Below are 19882 nucleotides of genomic sequence, written 5' to 3' on the forward strand. Positions count from 1 at the left end.
AATGTGAGTAAAGTGGGTTTAATATGTAGAAAAATAGTTTTAAAAAACTGCTACTAGTGCTGTAGTCGTTTGAATAATGTTAACAAGTTTTTAAGTTATTTACATAAAATAAAAAGAGCTCACAGGTCTCTAATATATAAAACAACATAAGCTGGGCATGGTGGCTCATGCCTGTAATGCCAACACTTTGGGAGGCCAAGGCAGGTGGATCACTTGAGGCCAGGAGTTCGAGACCAGCCTGGCCAACATGGCAAAACCCAATCTCTAGTAAAAATACAAAAATTAGGTGGGCATGGTGGCACAGTCCTGTAATCCCAGCTACTAGGGTGACTGAGGCAGGAAAATCTCTTGAATCCGGGAGGCGAAGGTTTCAGTGAGCCGAGATGGTGCCACTGCACTCCAGCTTGGGTGACAGAGACTCTGTCTCAAATAAGTAGTAAGTAAATAAATTAACTAAGTCCAACTTAGAGTAATCAAGATTCAGTGTTCAAGGCAAGACATAAGAAAGACAGTAACCTCCCAATTATCTCTGCTAATGGATGAAAGCAGTCAGGTAGATAATTTGTTCAGGAGATAATACAAAATATCATTTATATTTTCAGAATGAATTATGGGTCTTCACAAAGTCTGTATTCATTTTAAACTTTAGAATTCTGAGCTGTAAGATTTATAAACATCACTTCCCTGCTTAAAGGGCTCCTCATAATCCAAACTCCTTTGCTTAAAAGATGGAGCCTGAGCCGGGCGTGGTGGCTCACGCCTGTAATCCCATCACTTTGGGAGGCCGAGGAGGGCAGATCACCTGAGGTGAGGAGTTCAAGACCAGCCTGACCAACATGGTGAAATCTCGTCTCTACTAAAAATACCAAAATTAGCCAAGCATGGTGGTGCATGCCTGTAATCCCAGTTACTTGTGAGGCTGAGGCAGGAGAATTGCTTGAACCCAGGAGGCGGAGGTTGCAGTCAGCTGAGTTCGTGCCATTGCACTCCAGCCTGGGCAACAAGAGTGAAACTCCGTCCCAAAAAAAAAAAAAAAAAAAAAAAAAAAAAAAGATGGAGCCTGACTATCCTCATCTCCTATCATATCTTCCTCCCCTCTATTGTATTTTTCTTTAAGAATTAGCCCAAGTCTGAGCTATGGAAGTGAGACACTGTCTCAAAAAAAAAAAGAAAAGAAAAGAATCAGCCCAAATTCACCTTCTTGGCATTCCTTTCCTAATATAACACTAATCCCTGCCATGCAACACTTCACTCCCTATACTTGTAATAAAAACTTATCCTGTATCATAATTCTTAATTTACTTGTTTCTCCTCCATATTCTAAACTTCTCCAGAGCCAAGACCATTTGTTCTTTTTTTGCCTGTATGAGTTATGGTCCATACACTTCACATAATGTGTACTCAGAAAATGCCTTCTGAATGAATAATAGAAAAAAAATGAAACAATAAGTGAACAAATTATTCAGCTATGGTATAGATCATAGATTTATGAACTTGTGTGAAGGTATAATCCTTACTTCTAGCGTGGTTTTCATTGAAAAGTGTTTTAAAGTTCTAAGCAATATTTACTCATTCAACCAACAAACATTAAGCCTTTCTTTTCATTGTTCATTTTTGTTTTTGGTTTTTGTTTTTTTTTGAGATGGAGTTTCGCTTTTGTCGCCCAGGCTGGAGTACAATGGAGGCAGTCTAGGCTCACTGCAACCTCCGCCTCCCAGGTTCAAGCAATTCTCCTGCCTCAGCCTCCCAAGTAGCTGGGATTACAGGCGCCTGCCACCACGCCTGGTAATTTTTGTATGTTTAGTAGAGATGGGGTTTCACTGTGTTGGCCAGGCTGGTCTCGAACTCCTGACTGATCCCCCACCTCAACCTCCCAAAATGCTGGGATTACAGGCGTGAGCCACTGCGCCTGGCCCATTGTTCATTTTTAAACAATACTTTATATTGTCTTAGTTTGTTTGGTCTGCTGTAATGAAAAACCATAGCCTGGGTAGCTTATAAACAACAGAAATGTGTATCTTACAGTTCTGGAATCTGGGCATCCAAGATCAAGGAGCCAGTAGATTTGGTATATAGTGAATGCTACCAAGAATTACCCTGATATCTCTGCTTCCCCTTTATTTTCTTCTCTCTCCAACTGTAGGCATAAAATGACCTCACAATGTCTGGTCCTCCCTCACAAAAGTGTTTCGGTCACTCAGGATGCATATCTAAGTTCTAGTGCAAGAGAGGACTAGGAGTAAATGCTGAAGGGAGTGTTTAACCCCTTTAACCCATTGCAGTATGAGCAAGACTACTGTAAGATTCCTTTAACACAGTGCAACCAAAAGACAGACACCTTTTCTCCTTTTTGCTTCACAACAGACCACCTCAGCCACCATGACACCCAGTAGGAGGTATTCCACAGGAACAGCAGACGAGAACTTACCTTACATCATGACACATCAAGGCATATAGTTCTTGCAATGGACTAAATGTTTGTTTCCCCCCAAAATTTATAGTTGAAACCTAATCCCAAGTATGATGGTATTCGGAGGAGGCTTTTAGGAGGTGATTGGGACATGAGGATAGGGCTGTTTATAGATGAGAACTCCAAGGACCAGAGTGATTATTGGCAGGTTGCTTGCACACGGTCACAGCCAGGAAGTGGCAGAATTTTAACTTTAGGGTCCATGCTCTTAACCACTACAGGATGTTGCTTCTTTATTCTCTTGACAGTGGATAATTGAGATTTTAGGTAGGGAAGATGTCACTGATGCTATTGATACCACTACTTGTATCCTTTGGCACTTCACATTTGTGTGCATGCAGGCCCAGCTTCCATCTGACAACATTTGTAAATTCTTTGCCTGAAAGTGAAAGCTTTCCCTGGCTGCCGGAATCCACTCTCTGCAAATGGGGCCAGAGTGTAATGCCAGGGAATTAAAGTCCTCTCCCCCAGCCCCAGCAGCCTTCATCTGAAGGCTAATGTAGAACTAGAATGACTGAGGGAAATGAATGGAAAGAGACCCCAGCATCTTCACCCCTTGGGGTCGGATAATTCTGAGGTATGTGTTCCACCCTGGTTCCTAGAGTTTCTCTGCAGGATTAAATTTGAGCTGACCACAGCGGTAATTTGCTTGACAACATATCCTTTAGTGCCTTTCTTTCCTTATCTGTCTTGCATCCCACTCTGTTAATGGTGTTTTTTGGGATCACCTTCAAAATTAACTGTATGCAAATCTTTGTCTTAGGATATGTTTCTAGGGGCACCCAAATTAAGATAAGAAGTAGTGGCAACAAATTGAACATAGGCATTGGCTAAAGTTTTTCATTATTAAAAATGGTCACAACATGAATGTCCTCGTAAGCTATATATTTATACATGTCCTTAATTACAGGTTAAGCATCCCATCCAAAATGCTTTACCAGAAATGTTTTGGATTTTGGAAGTTGTGGATTTGGGAATATTTATATTTTATATGTACCAGTGGAATATTTGTAATCTGGAAATCCAAAATTCAAAATGCTCCAGTTTCCTTTGAGTGTCATGTTGGCACTCAAAAAGTTTAAGATTTTGGAGCATTTTGGATTTTCGGATTAGGGATCCTCAACTGGTAATGTTCTTTGGACATTAATTCCTGGATTATGTATATTTGAAGGCTTATGAAAAATTGTACTCTAAAAATATACGTTTACATCTTCACTTGGCACAGTAGGCATTATTTTCTTCTGTAATTTTGCCAACTTAGCAGTCCAAGAAATGATACTGCCATTTCTTTTTTATCATTTGAACTTAAACTTTTTAAATATAAATTTCTAGTTCACAATATTTTGCCCATTTTTCTATTGTCTTTACCTTATTAAATTGATAAGAACCTTAAAAATTAAGATTATAAGTAACCTGGCCAGGCACGATGGCTCATGCCTGTAATCCCAGCACTTTGGGAGTCTGAGGCAGGCGGATTACTTGAGATCAGGAGTTCAAGGCCAGCCTAGCTAACACGGTGAATCCCTGTTTCTACTAAAAATATAAAAATTAGCCAGGCATGGTGGTGGGCGCCTGTGTCTCAGCTACTCCGGAGGCTGAGGCAGGAGAATCACTTGAGCCCAGGAGGCAGAGGTGGCAGTGAGCTGAGATCACGCCACTGCACTCCAGCCTAGGCAACAGAGTGAAACTCTGTCTCAAAAAAAAAAAAAAAAAAAAAAAAAAAGATTGTAAATAACCTGTCATATATTGCAAAAAATTTTCTCAGTTTTTTATTTGCTGTATAACTTAGTTTATAGTATTGAACTTTCAAAATCTTAAAGTTTTGTTTAGCCAAATTCATTAATTTTTTTCTGTATTTTTTTCTACCTTTGTATATAATGTTTATTGGGTGTATTGGGTTCTTCTCAAGCATAAAGCTATATAACTTTTTTTTTTTAAACACAGGGTCTCATTCTGTTGCCCAGTATGGAGTAGGGTGATTACTATCATTGTTCACTGCAGCCTAAAACTCCGGGGCTCAAGCTATCCTCCCACCTCAGCCTCCCAAATAGCTAGGACTACAGGCACGCACCTCCATGCCCAGCTAATTTTTTATAGAGACGGGGTCTTACTATGTTGTCCAGGCTGGTCTCAAACTCCTGGCCTCAAGCAATCCTCTCACCTTGCCCTCCTGAAGCACTGGAATGCCAGGCATGAGCCACCACACCTAGCCTTATAGAACTATTAACTAATATTTCCTGGTCTCTTAAGGAACCTTTGTAGTATATTAGATATGTGTACTGTGCTTGGAATTTACTTTGGTATAAGGATAAGAGTTTTGTTTTCTCTTAAATAGGTAAGTAGCTGAACTGACACCATTTACTGAAGTCTGTCTTTCCTTTACTACACATGCAAGAACCTTGCTTTACGTAATTGAAAGTCAAGTTGTAATATGGGCTTTCATTGTCAAGGCTCTGCATACTTTGATGTAGTTCTCTTGGCTTTACCTTCATCTTCCTGCATGATACTAAAATGGCTGCAACATTCCCAAGCCTTACATCTTATACCATAGCTTAAAAAGAAAAACAATAGTCTTTGTTTCCTGCAACCATATTTATTTTAAAAAATCCTACAGTTCACTCTAAATAGACAACCTAAACTTATTTTTGTGGCCAGAGAAATGCCAGACCAATTAGCTTAGATATGGATTTCTGTCCATCTTTTAACCTAATCCTATAGCAAATCAGATGTGATCATCCTAAGTAGTTTAAACCTATTACGGCTTACCCTGAATCACATAGTTACTGCTCAGAGGTAGTAGGGGAAGAGTGTATGACATGAGGATTCTGTATTTCTTGTTTTACCTACTGCTTTGAAATGTTACTGTTTATTGCTATTTGTAATCTTCAGATGTTCTTGAATTAGTTACAGAATTAATTAGTTCATTTGATCCTTGTTACGGTCCTGTGCCAGTACTATCCTGTTTAAATTATTATCTTCATAAAGCATTTGTAGGGCAAGTTCTCCCCTCATTACTCTTCTGAAAAAAATTCCCTGTCTGCAAGGAACAGAGGGACATTTTAAGTGACAACATGAAATTATAGTCAGAAATTCCAGAGGGTGGAAAATTTCTATACAAAAAATTTCTATTTATATTTTGCATTCAGTTTACAAATTAATTTCAGGATAATGGCTGATTTTACAGTGTTGTGTCCCAGTCCATTTATTTAAATGCTTTGTTTTTCTGTAAAGTTTTTTGGTTTTCTAGGAAATACTCTTCTAGACATTGACCTAGGCAAAGAATTTTTGATGAAGACCCCAAAAGCAAATGCAACAAAATAAAAAATAGACAAATGGGACTTAATTAAACTAAAGAGCTTCTGCACAGCAAATGAAACTATCAACAGAGTAAACAGAAACACTATAGAATGGGAGAAAATATTTGCAAACTATGCATCTGACAAAGGTCTAATGTCCAGAATCCTATAAGGAATAAGCAGGAAAAAAAACAATCTCGTGAAAAAGTGGGCAAAGGAAATGAGTAGACACTTCTCAAAAGAAACCATACAAGCAGCCAGCAAACACATGGAAAAGTGCTCAGCATCACCAGTCATTGGAAAGATGCAAATCAAAACCACAGTGAAATACCGTCTCACACTAGTAAGAATGGCTTTTATTAAAAAGTCAAAAAATAACAGATATTGGCAAGATTGTAGAGAAAGAGGAGTGCTTATACTCTTGGTGGAAATGTAAATTAGTTCTGCCACTGTGAACAGCAGTTTGGAGATTTCTCAAAGAACTAGAAATAAAATTACCATTTGACCTGGCAATCTCTTTGCCGGGCCTATACCCAAAGGTAAATAAATCGTTCTACCAAAAAGACACATTCACTTGTATGTTTATTGCAGCACTATTCACAATAGCAAATACATGGAATCAACCCAGGTGCCCATCAACAATGGATTAGATAAAGAAAATGTGATGCTTATACACAATGAAATACTGTGTAGCCATAAAAAAGAACAAAATCATGTACTTTGCAGTAATATGGATAAGGCTTGAAGCCATTATCCTACCCCAGTGCAGAAACAGAAAACCACATATTCTCACTTATAAGTGAGAAGTAAACATTGGGTACACATGGACCCAAAGATAAGAACAATAAACACTGGGAACTCCAAAAGTAGGGAGGGAGCACAGAAGTGGTTGAAAAAGTAACCACGTAGTGTTTCCTACTTGGGCAACGGGATCAGTTGTACCCCACACCTCAGCATCACGCAATGTACCCATGTAACAAACATGCACATGTACCTTCTGAATCTAAAATAAATAAATAAAAATATATATATTGAATAGATGAGATGTTTTCCCAGAAGATTTTAAAAGACTGTTTAAAGTTTTATGGTTTTCTTCTTGTTTACTTTTTTAAATTTTATTCCTATGAAAATAATTTTTATGGCTATTGAGATTGTTATCATCATGATTTGTGCTTCCCTATTGATATGGTTTGGCTCTGTGTCCCCACCCAAATTTCATCTAGAATTGTAATCCCTATGTGTCAAGGGGGGGATCTGATGGGAGGTAATTGAACTATGGGGGCAGTTTCCTCCGTGCTGTTCTTGTAAGAGTGAGGGAGTTCTCATGAGAGCTGATGCTTTAAAGTGTGACACTTTATCACTCTCTCTCTCTCTCCTGCCAACATGTAAGACGTGCCTTGCTTCCCCTTTGCCTTCTGCCATGGTTGTAAGTTTCCTGAGGCCTCCCCAGCCATGTGGAACTGAGAGTCAAACCTCATTTGTTTATAAATTACCCAAACTCAGGTAGTATCTTTATAGCAGCGTGAAAATGGACTAATACACCCATATTACTTAAGTAGTTATTCCTGTCTTGACCATTTTGTCTTAAAACTCTGCCTTTTGTATTTAGAAATAAACAGTAGCTTAATCAAGAAAACTTAGCAGAGTAGGCTGATATATTTCAATATTTTTCAGTTTTGTGCCCCTTATAGCAGGCTTTCTCAATCTTGGCAGTATTAACATTATGGATTGGATAACTCGTTGTTGTTGGGGGCTGTCCTGTGCATTGTAGGATATTTAACAGCATTCCTGGCCCCTACCCATGGGGTGACCAGCATGTCCTCCTTTACCTGAAACTGTTCAAGTTTTAAAACTGGCAGGTCCATGTCTGAGGAACCTCCTCAGTTTGAGGTTCACAGGGACACTTGATCATCTTGTGTATCCACTTAGTAGTGTATTCCTCTTCCCCAGCTGTGACAATAAAAAATGTCTCCAGGCATTGGCAGATGTCCCCTAGGGCAAAATCATCTGGTGGAGAACCACTGCCCTATAGATAAACAAAAAATCTCATACTCTGTGTTGGAACCCACCAGCCAGACTATCAGAAACGTATCTATAGTGAAACAAAGTTAGGTTTATTTAGCATGATGCAACAAAGAATAATGCATCCCAAAGGACCTTAGGAGTGTTTCAGAAACAGGTATTCAGGAGGAGCCTCTTAAAGGTTTTGGCCTTGTGCTGAGTAGTTCCAGGAAAGGATCAGTGAAGCAGACAGGGACAGTTTGGTGATTGGCTATTTTATTAATTTTTTCATAGGAAACCCAGAGGATTACAGTTAGGCTAGGTGTGCCTTTAGTAAAGGCACAGCAATCAAGCAGAAAAAGAATGTTAATTATTTCTTGTGGTTGCAGGTCTGTTAGTTTCTGTTAGAAACTTTGGCTCTGTTAAAAACTTTCTTAGATTCTATGTCCTCTGGAAACATTGTTTATGTTCTGCTTAGACCTTCTCCATCTGATTGTCAACAGGCAATTTTTATTTCTCCATTCCCTGTAATATTATTTAGAATTTCAAAATATATCAGATATTTTACTATATAGAGAAGCAAGATAACTGTCTTCTTATATGGGTTGTTTTCAGACTGCACACACTTCCCTTTAAAAACTACTGGGCTGGCATAGGTTCCAAGATGGCCAAATAGGAACAGCTCCAGTCTACAGCTCCCAGCGTGAGCGATGCAGAAGACGGGTGATTTCTGCATTTCCAACTGAGGTACTGGGTTCATCTCACTAGGGCTTGTCAGACAGTGGGTGCGGGACAGTGGGTGCAGCCCATGGAGCGTGAGCCGAAGCAGGGCGAGGCATCACCTTACCCGGGAAGTGCAAGGGGTCGGGGAATTCCCTTTCCTAGCCAAGGGAACCCGTGACAGACGGCACCTGGAAAATCGGGTCACTCCCACCCTAATACTGTGCTTTTCCAACAGTCTTAGCAAACGACACACCAGGAGATTATATCCCGCACCTGGCTCAGAGGGTCCCACACCCACAGAGCCTCTCTTGCTGCTAGCACAGCAGTCTGATATCGAACTGTAAGGCAGCAGTGAGGGAGGGGGAGGGGCTCCGCCATTGCTGAGGCTTGAGTAGGTAAAAAAAAAAAGCAGCCGGGAAGCTCAAACTGGGTGGATCCCACCACAGCTCAAGGAGACCTGCCTGCCACTGTAGACTCCACCTCTGGGGCAGGGCATAGCTGAACAAAAGGCAGCAGAAACTTCTGCAGACTTAAATGTACCTGTCTGACAGCCTTGAAGAGAGTAGTGGTTCTCCCAGCACGGAGTTTGAGATCTGAGAACGGACAGACTGCCTCCTCAAGAGGGTCTCTGACCCCCGAGTAGCCTAACTGGGAGGCACCTCCCAGTAGGGGCCAACTGACACCTCATACGTCTCAGAGGGTGTCCATCTGAGACGAAGCTTCCAGAGGAAAGATCAGGCAGCAACGTTTGCTGTTCTGCAGTATTTGCTGTTCTGCAGCCTCCGCTGCTGATACCCAGGCAAACAGGGTCTGGAGTGGACCTTCAGCAAATTCCAACAGACCTGCAGCTAAGGGTCCTGACTGTTAGAATGAAAACTAACAGAAAGGACATCCACAACAAAACCCCATCTGTACGTCACCATCATCAAAGACCAAAGGTAGATCAAACCACAAAGATGGGGAGAAACCAGAGCAGAAAAGCTGAAAATTCTAAAAATCAGAGTGCCTTTTCTCCTCCAAAGGAATGCAGCTCCTCGCCAGCAACAGAACAAAGCTGGACTGAGAATGACTTTGACAAGTTGAGAGAAGAAGGCTTCAGACGATCGGTAATAACAAACTTCTCCGACCTAAAAGAGGATGTTCAGACCCATTGCAAAGAAGCTAAAAACCTTGAAAAAAGATTAGATGAATGGCTAACTAGAATAAACGGCGTAGAGAAGACCTTAAATGACCTGATGGAGCTGAAAACCATGGCACAAGAACTACGTGACGCATGCACAAGCTTCAGTAGCCGATTAGATGAACTGGAAGAAAGGGTATCAGTGGTGGAAGATCAAATGAATGAAATGAAGTGAGAAGTTTACAGAAAAAAGAGTAAAAATAAACGAACAAAGCCTCCAAGAAATATGCGACTATGTGAAAAGACCAAATCTACGTCTGATTGGTGTACCTGAAAGTGACGGGGAGAATGGAACCAAGTTGGAAAACACTCTTCACGATATTATCCAGGAGAACTTCCCCAACCTAGCAAGGCTAGGTTGAGTTCTCACTCAAAGGTGGGAACTGAACAATGAGAACACTTGGACACAGGATGGGGAACATCACACACCAGGGCCTGTCTTGGGGTGGGGGTAGGGGGTAGGGATAGCATTAGGAGATACACCTAATGTAAATGACGAGTTAATGGGTGCAGCACACCAAAATGGCACATGTATACGTATGTAACAAACCTGCACGTTGTGCACATGTACTGTAGAACTTAAAGTATAATAATAAAAATTTTAAAAAAATAAAAAAATCACTGGGCTAAAGTAAATAAGTATTTTACTGGTTCTAAGATTGTTTTTCAGAGAGAAAAACAATAGAAGTGTAGAAGCAATTCGATAAAGAAAGGAGTCTTTTCAACAAATGTTGCTGCAACAGTCAAATGTCTGTATGCAAAAAAATGAACCTCCACACTCACCTCACACCTTATACAAAACTTTGTTCAAAATTGGTCAATATTGAGCATGTAGCATCTGTTGCCTGTTACCAGGATAGAAGTCCAAGCACTTCTGCCCACTGCATTTTGGTATGAGAGTCACCAAGAAAACACAATGCAGTCAAGCACTGGATGGAACAAACCTTACTTATGTAGAGAAAAGACAAGAGTGACATCAGAGTCAGTAGTACATGTCAGTCCCCCATGGCCAGCAACTGCTTCCCAGCAGCTAATGCAGGGGCAGTTGACCTACATGCACATCTCTTGTGCTGCAACAGAAGGACTCAGTCCCCTTCCTGCAGGGTACAGATATAGTAGTGAGGTTGGTCAGGTGTCATATGACATACAACCTTTAAGTAGAAGCAAAAAGTACATATTGAGTCTGAAATGGGGAAGGTATTCCCATACAAGGAAACAAGCCCAGCACAAGCTCTGAAAGATACTTTATCTCTTAGTAAGCAAGTGTTCCAGGGCCACAGCCCATTCCTGGGCAGTTGAGTGTAGATCAAAAGACTATAGCATGAGATTGCCTTTCCCAACAGTAAAACACAAAACTTCTAGAAAAAAAGAAAAGGAGAAAATCTATGTGACCTTGGGATTGAAGATGAGTTTTTAGATACAGAGGTTGAGTATCCCTTATCTGAAATGTTGGGACCAGAAATGTTTCAGATTTCAGATTTTTATTTTGGAATATTTGCATTATATACTTAATGATTGAATATCCCAAATCCAAAAATCTAAAATTCAAAATTCTCCAAAGAGCATTTTCTTTGAGCATCATGTTTGTGCTTAAAAACAAGTTTTGAATTTTTGAGCTTTTCGAATTTTGGATTTTCACATTTAGGATGCTCAACCTGTGTTACCAAAAAGCACAGTCCATGAAACAAACAAAAAGATAAATTGTATTTTATGACAATTAAAAACTCACTTTGTGAAAAACATTGTTAAGAAAATGAAAAGTCAATCTATAGACTGGGAGAAAATATTTGTAAATTACATAGCTGATAAAGGACTTGTATCTGTTAAGAAAATGAAAAGTCAGTCTATAGACTGGGAGAAAATATTTGTAAATTACATAGCTGATGAAGGACTTGTATCAAGAACATATATAGACCTCAATTCAGCAGTAACAAACAGCTCAATAAAAATGCACAAAAGATCTTAACAGACACTTCGCCAAGGAACTTATACAGATGGCAAATAGGCACATGAAAAGATACTCAACATTACTTGTCAATAGGGAAATGGAAAATAAAACCACAATGAAATACTGCTATGTACCTATTAGAATGGCTTAAATACAGTAACACTGATACCAAATGCTGGGAAGGATACAGAGCAACAGGAATTCTCGTTCATTGCTGGTGAGATTGCAAAATTATATGGCCACTTTGGAAGGTAGTCTTATAGTTTCTTATAAGTTAAATATAGACTTACCATAGAAGTCAGCATTCTAGGATAATTTGCCGAAGTGAATTGAAAACGTAAGTACATATAAGAATCTGTACACAAATGTTTATAGCAGCTTTATTCATAACTTCTAAAACTGGAAGCAGCCAAGATGTCTTTCAGCAGTGGCATGGATTAAAAAAATTGTGGTACATCCATGCAAAAGAATATTATTCAGCAATAAAAAGGAATGAGAATTGATTCACAAAACAATGTGAGTGAATTTAGCTGCATATTAGTCAGTGAAAGAAGCCAGACCCAAAAGCTTTGAATTTTATGATTCTATTCATATGATCTTCTGGAGAAAAGCAAAACTATGGGGAACGAAAACAGATTAGTGGTTAACAATCTGTTGGAGGGCAAAGTGGTTGACTAAAAGAGATGCACGGAGAAATTTTTAAGGTGAAAGAACTATTCTTTATGGTACTGGAGTGGTACATACATGACTTTATGCATTTGTCAAACCTCATAGAGCTGTAAATCACAAATAGTGAAGCTTGATGTATGTAAACTGGAGGAAAAAGGCATCAAAGAGCCTATCACAGGATCAATCCCAGGATAAAATTTATTCTCTTGACAAATGAACCCAGTTCTTACAAATGAGTGACATAACTGTGCTTAAGGTGATAGGGGCAGGGACTGTCCTAAATTACTGGAAAATGGTGTTTTGACTGGAAATTATAAGGATGAAGAATAAAGATACAAAAACTCCATGCTCTAGTTGGTAAATAAGTTTTCCAAAGGGGTATTTGTTAATAAGTCTGAAAGTGCTTTACATGTATATACTGGGGTTAAACAAATAAATAAGTGGATAGTGGATGGTGGGAGCCAGGTTTCTCACTATCAGAGAGGGAAGTTACAGATAAAAATGGAAGGTTAAAATGAATTCTGTGATTCAGGATTAGAGTTGAAAACATCAGTGTGAACTCATGTTTACCTTTGTATATTGTACAGGTGGAAAAATACAGAAAATTTTACATGTAAGTTAGTATCTGTGTGCGTATATATATGTCTATGCATATATATATGTAACCTAGCTCTGTCCACTGAGAGAGCCTAGAAGGAATGACACCCCAATAGCAGTGAGCAGTCTCAGCATTCAGATCTTGGTTCTACATAAATCTCAAAGAAAAGGTACTATGCTTCTTGGAGAAAGGGCTTATTCTAGGACTGGGGCAAGGAAACTGCATAAGCCTATAATATCTTGCAACAGAAAGTAAGAAAGTGCTCAAAAAGTAAAGGAAAGGGGTATGTCAAACAGATAAAGGAGCCAACCTGAAAGAAGTCCCAATGGCCAAAGCTAGAACAATTGAGCAACAAAAGAAATAAAGTAGTATTTATTGAGTGAGTGTGGGCTGCACTTAGTGACATGCTTCCAATTAATAAAGTATGGAAAGGGGAAAATAGTAACTTTACAGTGGAGGAAACTGGCAAACACTACTTTACCCAAGTGACCAGTATTAGTATTTGGAGTAGTGTCATGTGGATACCATGTACTGCCTGATGTGTTGTGATTAAAAAGGCATTTCACCTCTATGGTATTCTTTCCTAAAATTTATAACTCTAGTCTAATCATGAGAAAACATCAATGTCAAAATGAGGGACATTCTGCAAAATACATGACCAAAACTTTCAAGGTCATGAAAAACAAAGGAAGACTGAGAAACTATCAAGAGACCAGAGGAGACTAAGGAGACTTGATGAATTAATGCAATACAGTATCATGGATTTGATCCTGTGGTAGTAAAAAGGACATTTAATAGAAAAACTGGTGAAATCCAAATAAAGTTTGGAGTTTTGTTAATGGTAATCTACTAATGTTGGCTTTTTAGTTTAGACAGATGTACTATAATATTAACATCAGAGAAGTCTGAAAGTGAGGTAGATGGGACCTCTGTACTATCTTGGTAACTTCTCTGTAAATTTAAAATTATTTCAAAATTAAAAGTTTATTTTAAAAAGTTCAGGCCAAGTGTGATGTCTCATGCCTGTAATCCCAGCACTTTGAGAGTCTAAGGTGGAAGGATCACTTGAGGCCAGGAATTTGAGACCACCCTAGGCAAAATAGCAAGATCCTATCTCTACAAAAATTTTTTTAGAAAATCTGGGCATGGTGGTATGTGCCTGTTATCCTCCTAGCTACTCAGGAGGCTGAGGCAGAAAGATTGCTTGAGCTCAGGAGTTCAAGATTACGGTGAGCCATGCTTGTACCACTACACTGCAGCCTGGACAGCAAAGCAAGACCCTGTCAATCAGTAGTTAAGAACAAAATGTAGAATATAATTTTATTTATGAAAAAGTCTGTATATAGATCTAGATACATTTATATGCATTGATGGTTTATTAAAATGTTTACTAAAATATTAACAGTAATGGGGTTTGAGAATGTTATTACTTTTTGATTATTTTCTCTAGTATTAGATTTTCTTTGATTAGCATGTATTTTTATTTTAAAAACACTATTAAAAACAAAAATAGCAATAAAAGATACTTTTCTTTCCAATTACCTTTCATAAAATTATCTCTCTAATAATTTTTCAATCAGAAGTTTATCAAGTGAAGTGGGAGAAAAGTGAAAAATGAGACATGTTTTATGACATATGTTTACATGTCATAAAATATTAAATGACAAAAAAGTTTCATGTTAAGTGAAAAAGTGATTGCAAGCAATATATATAGTACAGACCCCTAATTCTTGCAGTCAGTCTTGGTCCAAAAATATTAAATGTAAAATTCCAGAAATAATCCATAAGTTTAAAATTGTACACCATTCTGAGTAGCGTGATGAAATCTCTGTGTCCTGCTCCGTCCCACCTGGGCATGTGAATCATACCTTGTTCAGTGTGTATCCGTACTGTATGTGCTACCTACCCATTAGTCACTTGTAGCTGTCTCGGTTATCAGAGCAGAAAAAAATGTTATATATAAGGTTGGATACTATCTATGGTTTCAGGTATCTGCTGGAGGTCTTGGAATTTATCCCCTGTAGATAAGGGAGAACTACTGTACTGTTTAAGGGAGAACTACCGTACTGTTTTGTACTTAACCTGTATTCTAAATTTTCCACAATGAGTAGGTATTACTTTCATAATAAAAATATTGTGTTAATATTTTCATGGGACTGACAGACATCAGAGTGATATTTGGAACTTGAGTCAAAAGCTTTTAACTTAGGTTAAAACTTTTAAGAATTTTTCTGGATAACATAAACTGCTTGTAATTAGTTTATATCTTAAAATTTAGATGCAACCATGTCTTCTTCAAATAACATAATTAAATTACTTGGCATAATCATATATTGATTTAACATATATTTTGAAAGGTACAAAAAAAATTACATAAAATATAAGTTTTGCTTGTCCCCAAAGAATGAGAGTAGCTGAAGATTTTAATCACTGAATTTAAAAACCCTTTTGGAAAGTAAATAAGAAATTCAACTTTTTTGTCAGTATTATATGCCTTGTATTTACCCTGAGAATATATAAATATTAGTACTTTTCTAAAACCAAACTGGCTCAGGTTAGATGTTTCAATAAATATTTATATCATAGTGGTATAGCATCCACTTTTGGTGAGTGCCTTCTCTATGCCAAATACTTGATATACAACTTCTCATTAAATCTGCACAATGATGCTATATGGTGTACGTGGTATTAACCTGATTTGATAAATGTGGAAACTAAGGCTCAAAAAATTTAGTAACTTGCCCAGAGTTGCACATGATAAGTATTTGGTAATTTTGTATTAAAATATTTGTAAATTAAATATTTTTTAAAACACTGACACTCAACATTAAGTATACTTTATGTGCAAACAATTGCTCATAGATATCACCCTAACTTCATACTTTCATTATAAGGTAATATAAACTAAGAAATAGTTTAAAATGGAATAAAAACAGCAAGTGGGAAATAGCAGTTAATTGCCACTAAATACAATTTTAGTACTGTCATCACCCAATGTGCAGGTGACACCTACAGGAGAGAAATTTCTTTTTAGATAAAAAGCAAATCAAGTCATAACATAAAGGATTTGAAATGCTTTTCAACATTCTTTTGTTTTGCAGTGCAATTTTACCGTATTGTGATAAATATTGTTTAAAAATGAAAACCATTCAACCTTTATACAAATTGAAAAGAATAAAACTATTTTCAAATTATAAAAGGAGTGACATTTATGAAATTTTAAGCAAAATCAATTTCTGAATTCATTTTATGTCACTTTTAGGAAAGTTTTAAAACATCAGGCAAAGTTCTTTTTGCATATTTTATGTTTTTCTGATTTTAATTAGTGTAGGTTTCTAATTTATGTTTTAGAGTAATTGCATCAAATATTTAGTAATCATACTCTTGGACTTTTTCTGTTTCAGGCAGAAAATATAACTGTGACAAAGGATTTTAGGAGAGTGGAAAATGCTTATCACATGGAAGCAGAGGTATGTACTTAACAAATAATTGGAAGCAGCATGATTTTGTGGAGACAGTCATTTTTATTCTTGAACTGAAATGAATGGTGAAAAATGCTTCTCATGATATTAATAGAAGATTATTTTTCTCAAAATCATCTTGGTGTTATATATCTATTTCGGCTTTTAAATAAACTTGAGATTTAAAAGAAAGTTTAAAATGGAATAAAAACAGCAAGTGGGAAATAGCAGTTAATTGCCACTAAATACAGTTTTAGTACTGTCATCACCTAATGTGCGGGTGACACTACAGGAGAGAAATTTCTTTTTAGATAAAAAGCAAATAAAGTCATAACATAAAGGATTTGAAATGCTTTTCAACATTCTTTTGTTTTTCAGTGCAATTTTACTGTATTGTGATAAATATTGTTTAAAAATGAAAACCATTCAACCTTTATACAAATTAAAAAGAATAAAACTATTTTCAGTACACTCAGTTAATGACAACATTTAGTTCCTGCAACTGCCTATGCTTTTTACTTATATTTAAAGATTTAATGGCCAGGATTTTGTGAAATCAGAGTATGTTCTAGTGGTGGTTAGGTTACAGGACTGCTGTTTCTGATTCCAAACATTTTGGAGTACGTGCCTAGTACGTGCCACCTCCTTGTAACAAGAAACGAAGAGTGGGTTTATATTGAAATCTTGTATATCAAATGAGAGAATCTTTGTCTTTTGAAGTAGAAAGTATCTCCATCACCCGTTTCTATCTTCAGGCAGATAATACATTATTTTTCTGACTTTAAAGGTGTGACTTTAGGTTCAAATCACTTAGGCCCAGATTTCTCAAAGGTCATATAACAAGAATTAGATAGAAATTAGAACCCTGGATTCTTATCTCTTGAGAAGCAACTTCCACAATATTCTGTTTGTTGCCCCAATGCTTCCTGTAATCATTTTGTGATTTCTCCACTTAAAATTTTACTATGTCAAGGAATTTTTAAATTACTCATTATGATTTTAGGGATCCACTTGGCAAAACTTATTTCGTAGTAGTAGGAACTGAAAAATACCTTTCAAAACAGTATGAAGAGCAGTCTGATCCAAATTATCCAAATTACAGAGATTAAGAGCTGGTAGTATGTTATAGCACTCCTCCAGTAATTATCACCTGTTAGCACTTCAGATTGTAATAAATATAGATGGAAGCAAGTTATCTTAGTTAAGGAGGTTTATTATGAAGGTACCAAGGGAATAATAAGAAAAAAGAAACAGTTCCAGAAACTACACAGCCAGGCTTCATGGAAAACTGGAATGTGTTTGAAACCACTGAGTTGTCCTAGGAACTGACCTTTCAGATGCAGAAAGAGAGCATTAGAGCTGCTTGTTTTAAAACATGACTAAATGAGAGTTTGGCTAAACTCTGCTCCTCTTCCTTCTGCTTTACCTTTTTAATGTTTTATATTCAGATTTCTTAAGAGAGAATCTGATTATATTTTGTATAGGGATTCCAGGTAGCCAGAATTTATATCATATCACACAGTCCAATACATGATTGCCTTTAGGTCAGCACCAGCAGTCAGTGGAAACCAAAGTATTGGGATCACAAGATACAAAATGTACCAACCTAAGCATTAATAACAATGTGTGGCTTTATGACTATGGATTTAGCAAACACTAGAGCCTAATGTATAACACATACCAGTATTCTTAAGTACTGTTAAATATATGGAATGAGATTAGATGGTTGGTAGACTTATACAACTCAGTAGAAGAAAAGCAAATAACCTGATTTTAAAAATGAACGAAGGACTTGAATAGACATTTATCAAAAGAAGACATACAGATGGACAAAAGGTATAGAAAAAGGTGTTCAGCATCACTAATTATTTGAGACATACAAATCAAAACTACATTGAGCTATAACCTCACACCTATTAGAATGGCTATTATCAAAAAAGCAGAAGATTGGCTGGGCGCGATGGCTCTCACCTGTAATCCCAGCACTTTGGGAGGTCGAGGTGGGCGGATCACGAGGTCAGGAGTTCAAGACCAGCCTGACCAATATGGTGAAACCCCATCTCTACTAAAAATACAAAAAAATTAGCCAGGTGTGGTGGCGGGCGCCTGTAATCACAGCTACTCGGGAGGCTGAGACAGAAGAATCAGTTGAACCCAGGAGGTGGAGGTTGCAATGAGCCAAGATTGTGCCACTGCACTCCAGCCTGGGCGACAGAGCAAGACTCCATCTCACACACACACACAAAAACAACAACAACAACAACAGAAGACAGTGTCGATGAGAAAGTGGAAAAATTAGAACCCTTGTGCCCTGCAGGTGGGAATGTATGATGATGTAACCATTATGGAAAACAGTATACAGGTTCCTCAAAAAATTAAAAATAGAACTACGATATGACCCAGCAATCCCACTCCTGGGTGTATATCCAAAAGAACTGACATCAGGATCTGGAAAAAATACCTGTATTTGCATGTTCATTGCAGCATTATTCACAATAGCCAAGATATGGAAGCAACCCAAATGTCCATTGACAGATAAATGGATAAAGAAAATGTGTTATATACATACAATGAAATATTATTTAGCCTTAAAAAAAAGGGAAATCCTACCATTTGAAACATTGCTATGCCTGCAAGACATTATGTTAAGAGAAATATCAGTAACAGAATGATAAGTACTGGATTATTCCACTTACATGAGGAGTCTAAAATAATCATATCATAGAAGCAAAAAATAGAAGCTGGTTGCCAAAGAATGGAGGGAAGGGGAAATGGGATTTCTTACTCAATGGGTATAAAGTTACAGTTATGCAGATGAATTCTAGATATGGGCTATACAGTGTAGTGCCTACAGTTAACACAGTGTTGTGCACTTAAAAATTTGTTAAGAGGGTAGATCTCATGTTGTGTTGTTATCATACACATACACAAAGGACACAAGGAAAATTTTGGACGTGATAGATAGGTTTTTTGTCTTGATTATAGTGATAGTATCACAGGTGTATGCGTATGTCCAAACTCATCAAATTGTATATTCTAAATATGTGCAGTTTTTATATATAAATTACACCTCAGTACAGCTCCAATTTTTTTTTTTTTTTGAGATGGAGTCTCACTCTGTCACCCAGGCTGAAGTGCTGTGGCATGATCTCAGCTCACTGTAACCTCTGCCTCCCAGGTTCAAGTGATTCTCCTGCCTCAGCCTCTGGAGTTGCTGGGATTACAGGCACCTGGCTAATTTTTGTATTTATAGTAGAGATGGGATTTCACCATGTTGGCCAGGCTGGTCTGGCCAACTCCTGACCTCAAGTGATCTGCCTGCCTTGACCTCCCAACGTGCTAGGACTACAGACATGAGCCACCTAGCCTGGCCTAAATAATTTTTTTTAAAGAATAGATGAGGCCAGGCACAGTGGCTCATGCCTCTAATCCCAGCACTTTGGGAGGCTGAGGTGGGCGGATTGCTTGAGCCCAGGAGCTCCAGACCAACCTGGGCAACATGGTAAAACCCTTCTCTACAGAAAAATACAATAATA

At 37.8% G+C, this 19882-nt stretch overlaps 1 protein-coding gene across 7 annotated transcripts in view; it reads left to right on the forward strand.

Moving 5' to 3' along the window:
• Positions 1 to 19882, forward strand: part of IRAK1BP1 (interleukin 1 receptor associated kinase 1 binding protein 1) — a 111861-nt gene that overhangs the window by 1538 nt on the left and 90441 nt on the right. For all 7 annotated transcript variants that reach the window (XR_942279.3, XM_047418194.1, XM_006715336.4 and 4 more), the window contains exon 2: positions 16290 to 16355. Coding sequence is in view for 6 of the 7 variants with exons in the window: in XM_047418194.1 (XP_047274150.1) it covers positions 16290 to 16355 (66 nt within the window). In the remaining variant the exon portion in view is untranslated. The remainder of the gene's footprint in view (positions 1 to 16289; positions 16356 to 19882) is intronic.

Source organism: Homo sapiens, chromosome 6 (assembly GCF_000001405.40).
Source record: "Homo sapiens chromosome 6, GRCh38.p14 Primary Assembly".
In the NCBI taxonomy this organism is placed as follows: Eukaryota; Metazoa; Chordata; class Mammalia; order Primates; family Hominidae; genus Homo; species Homo sapiens.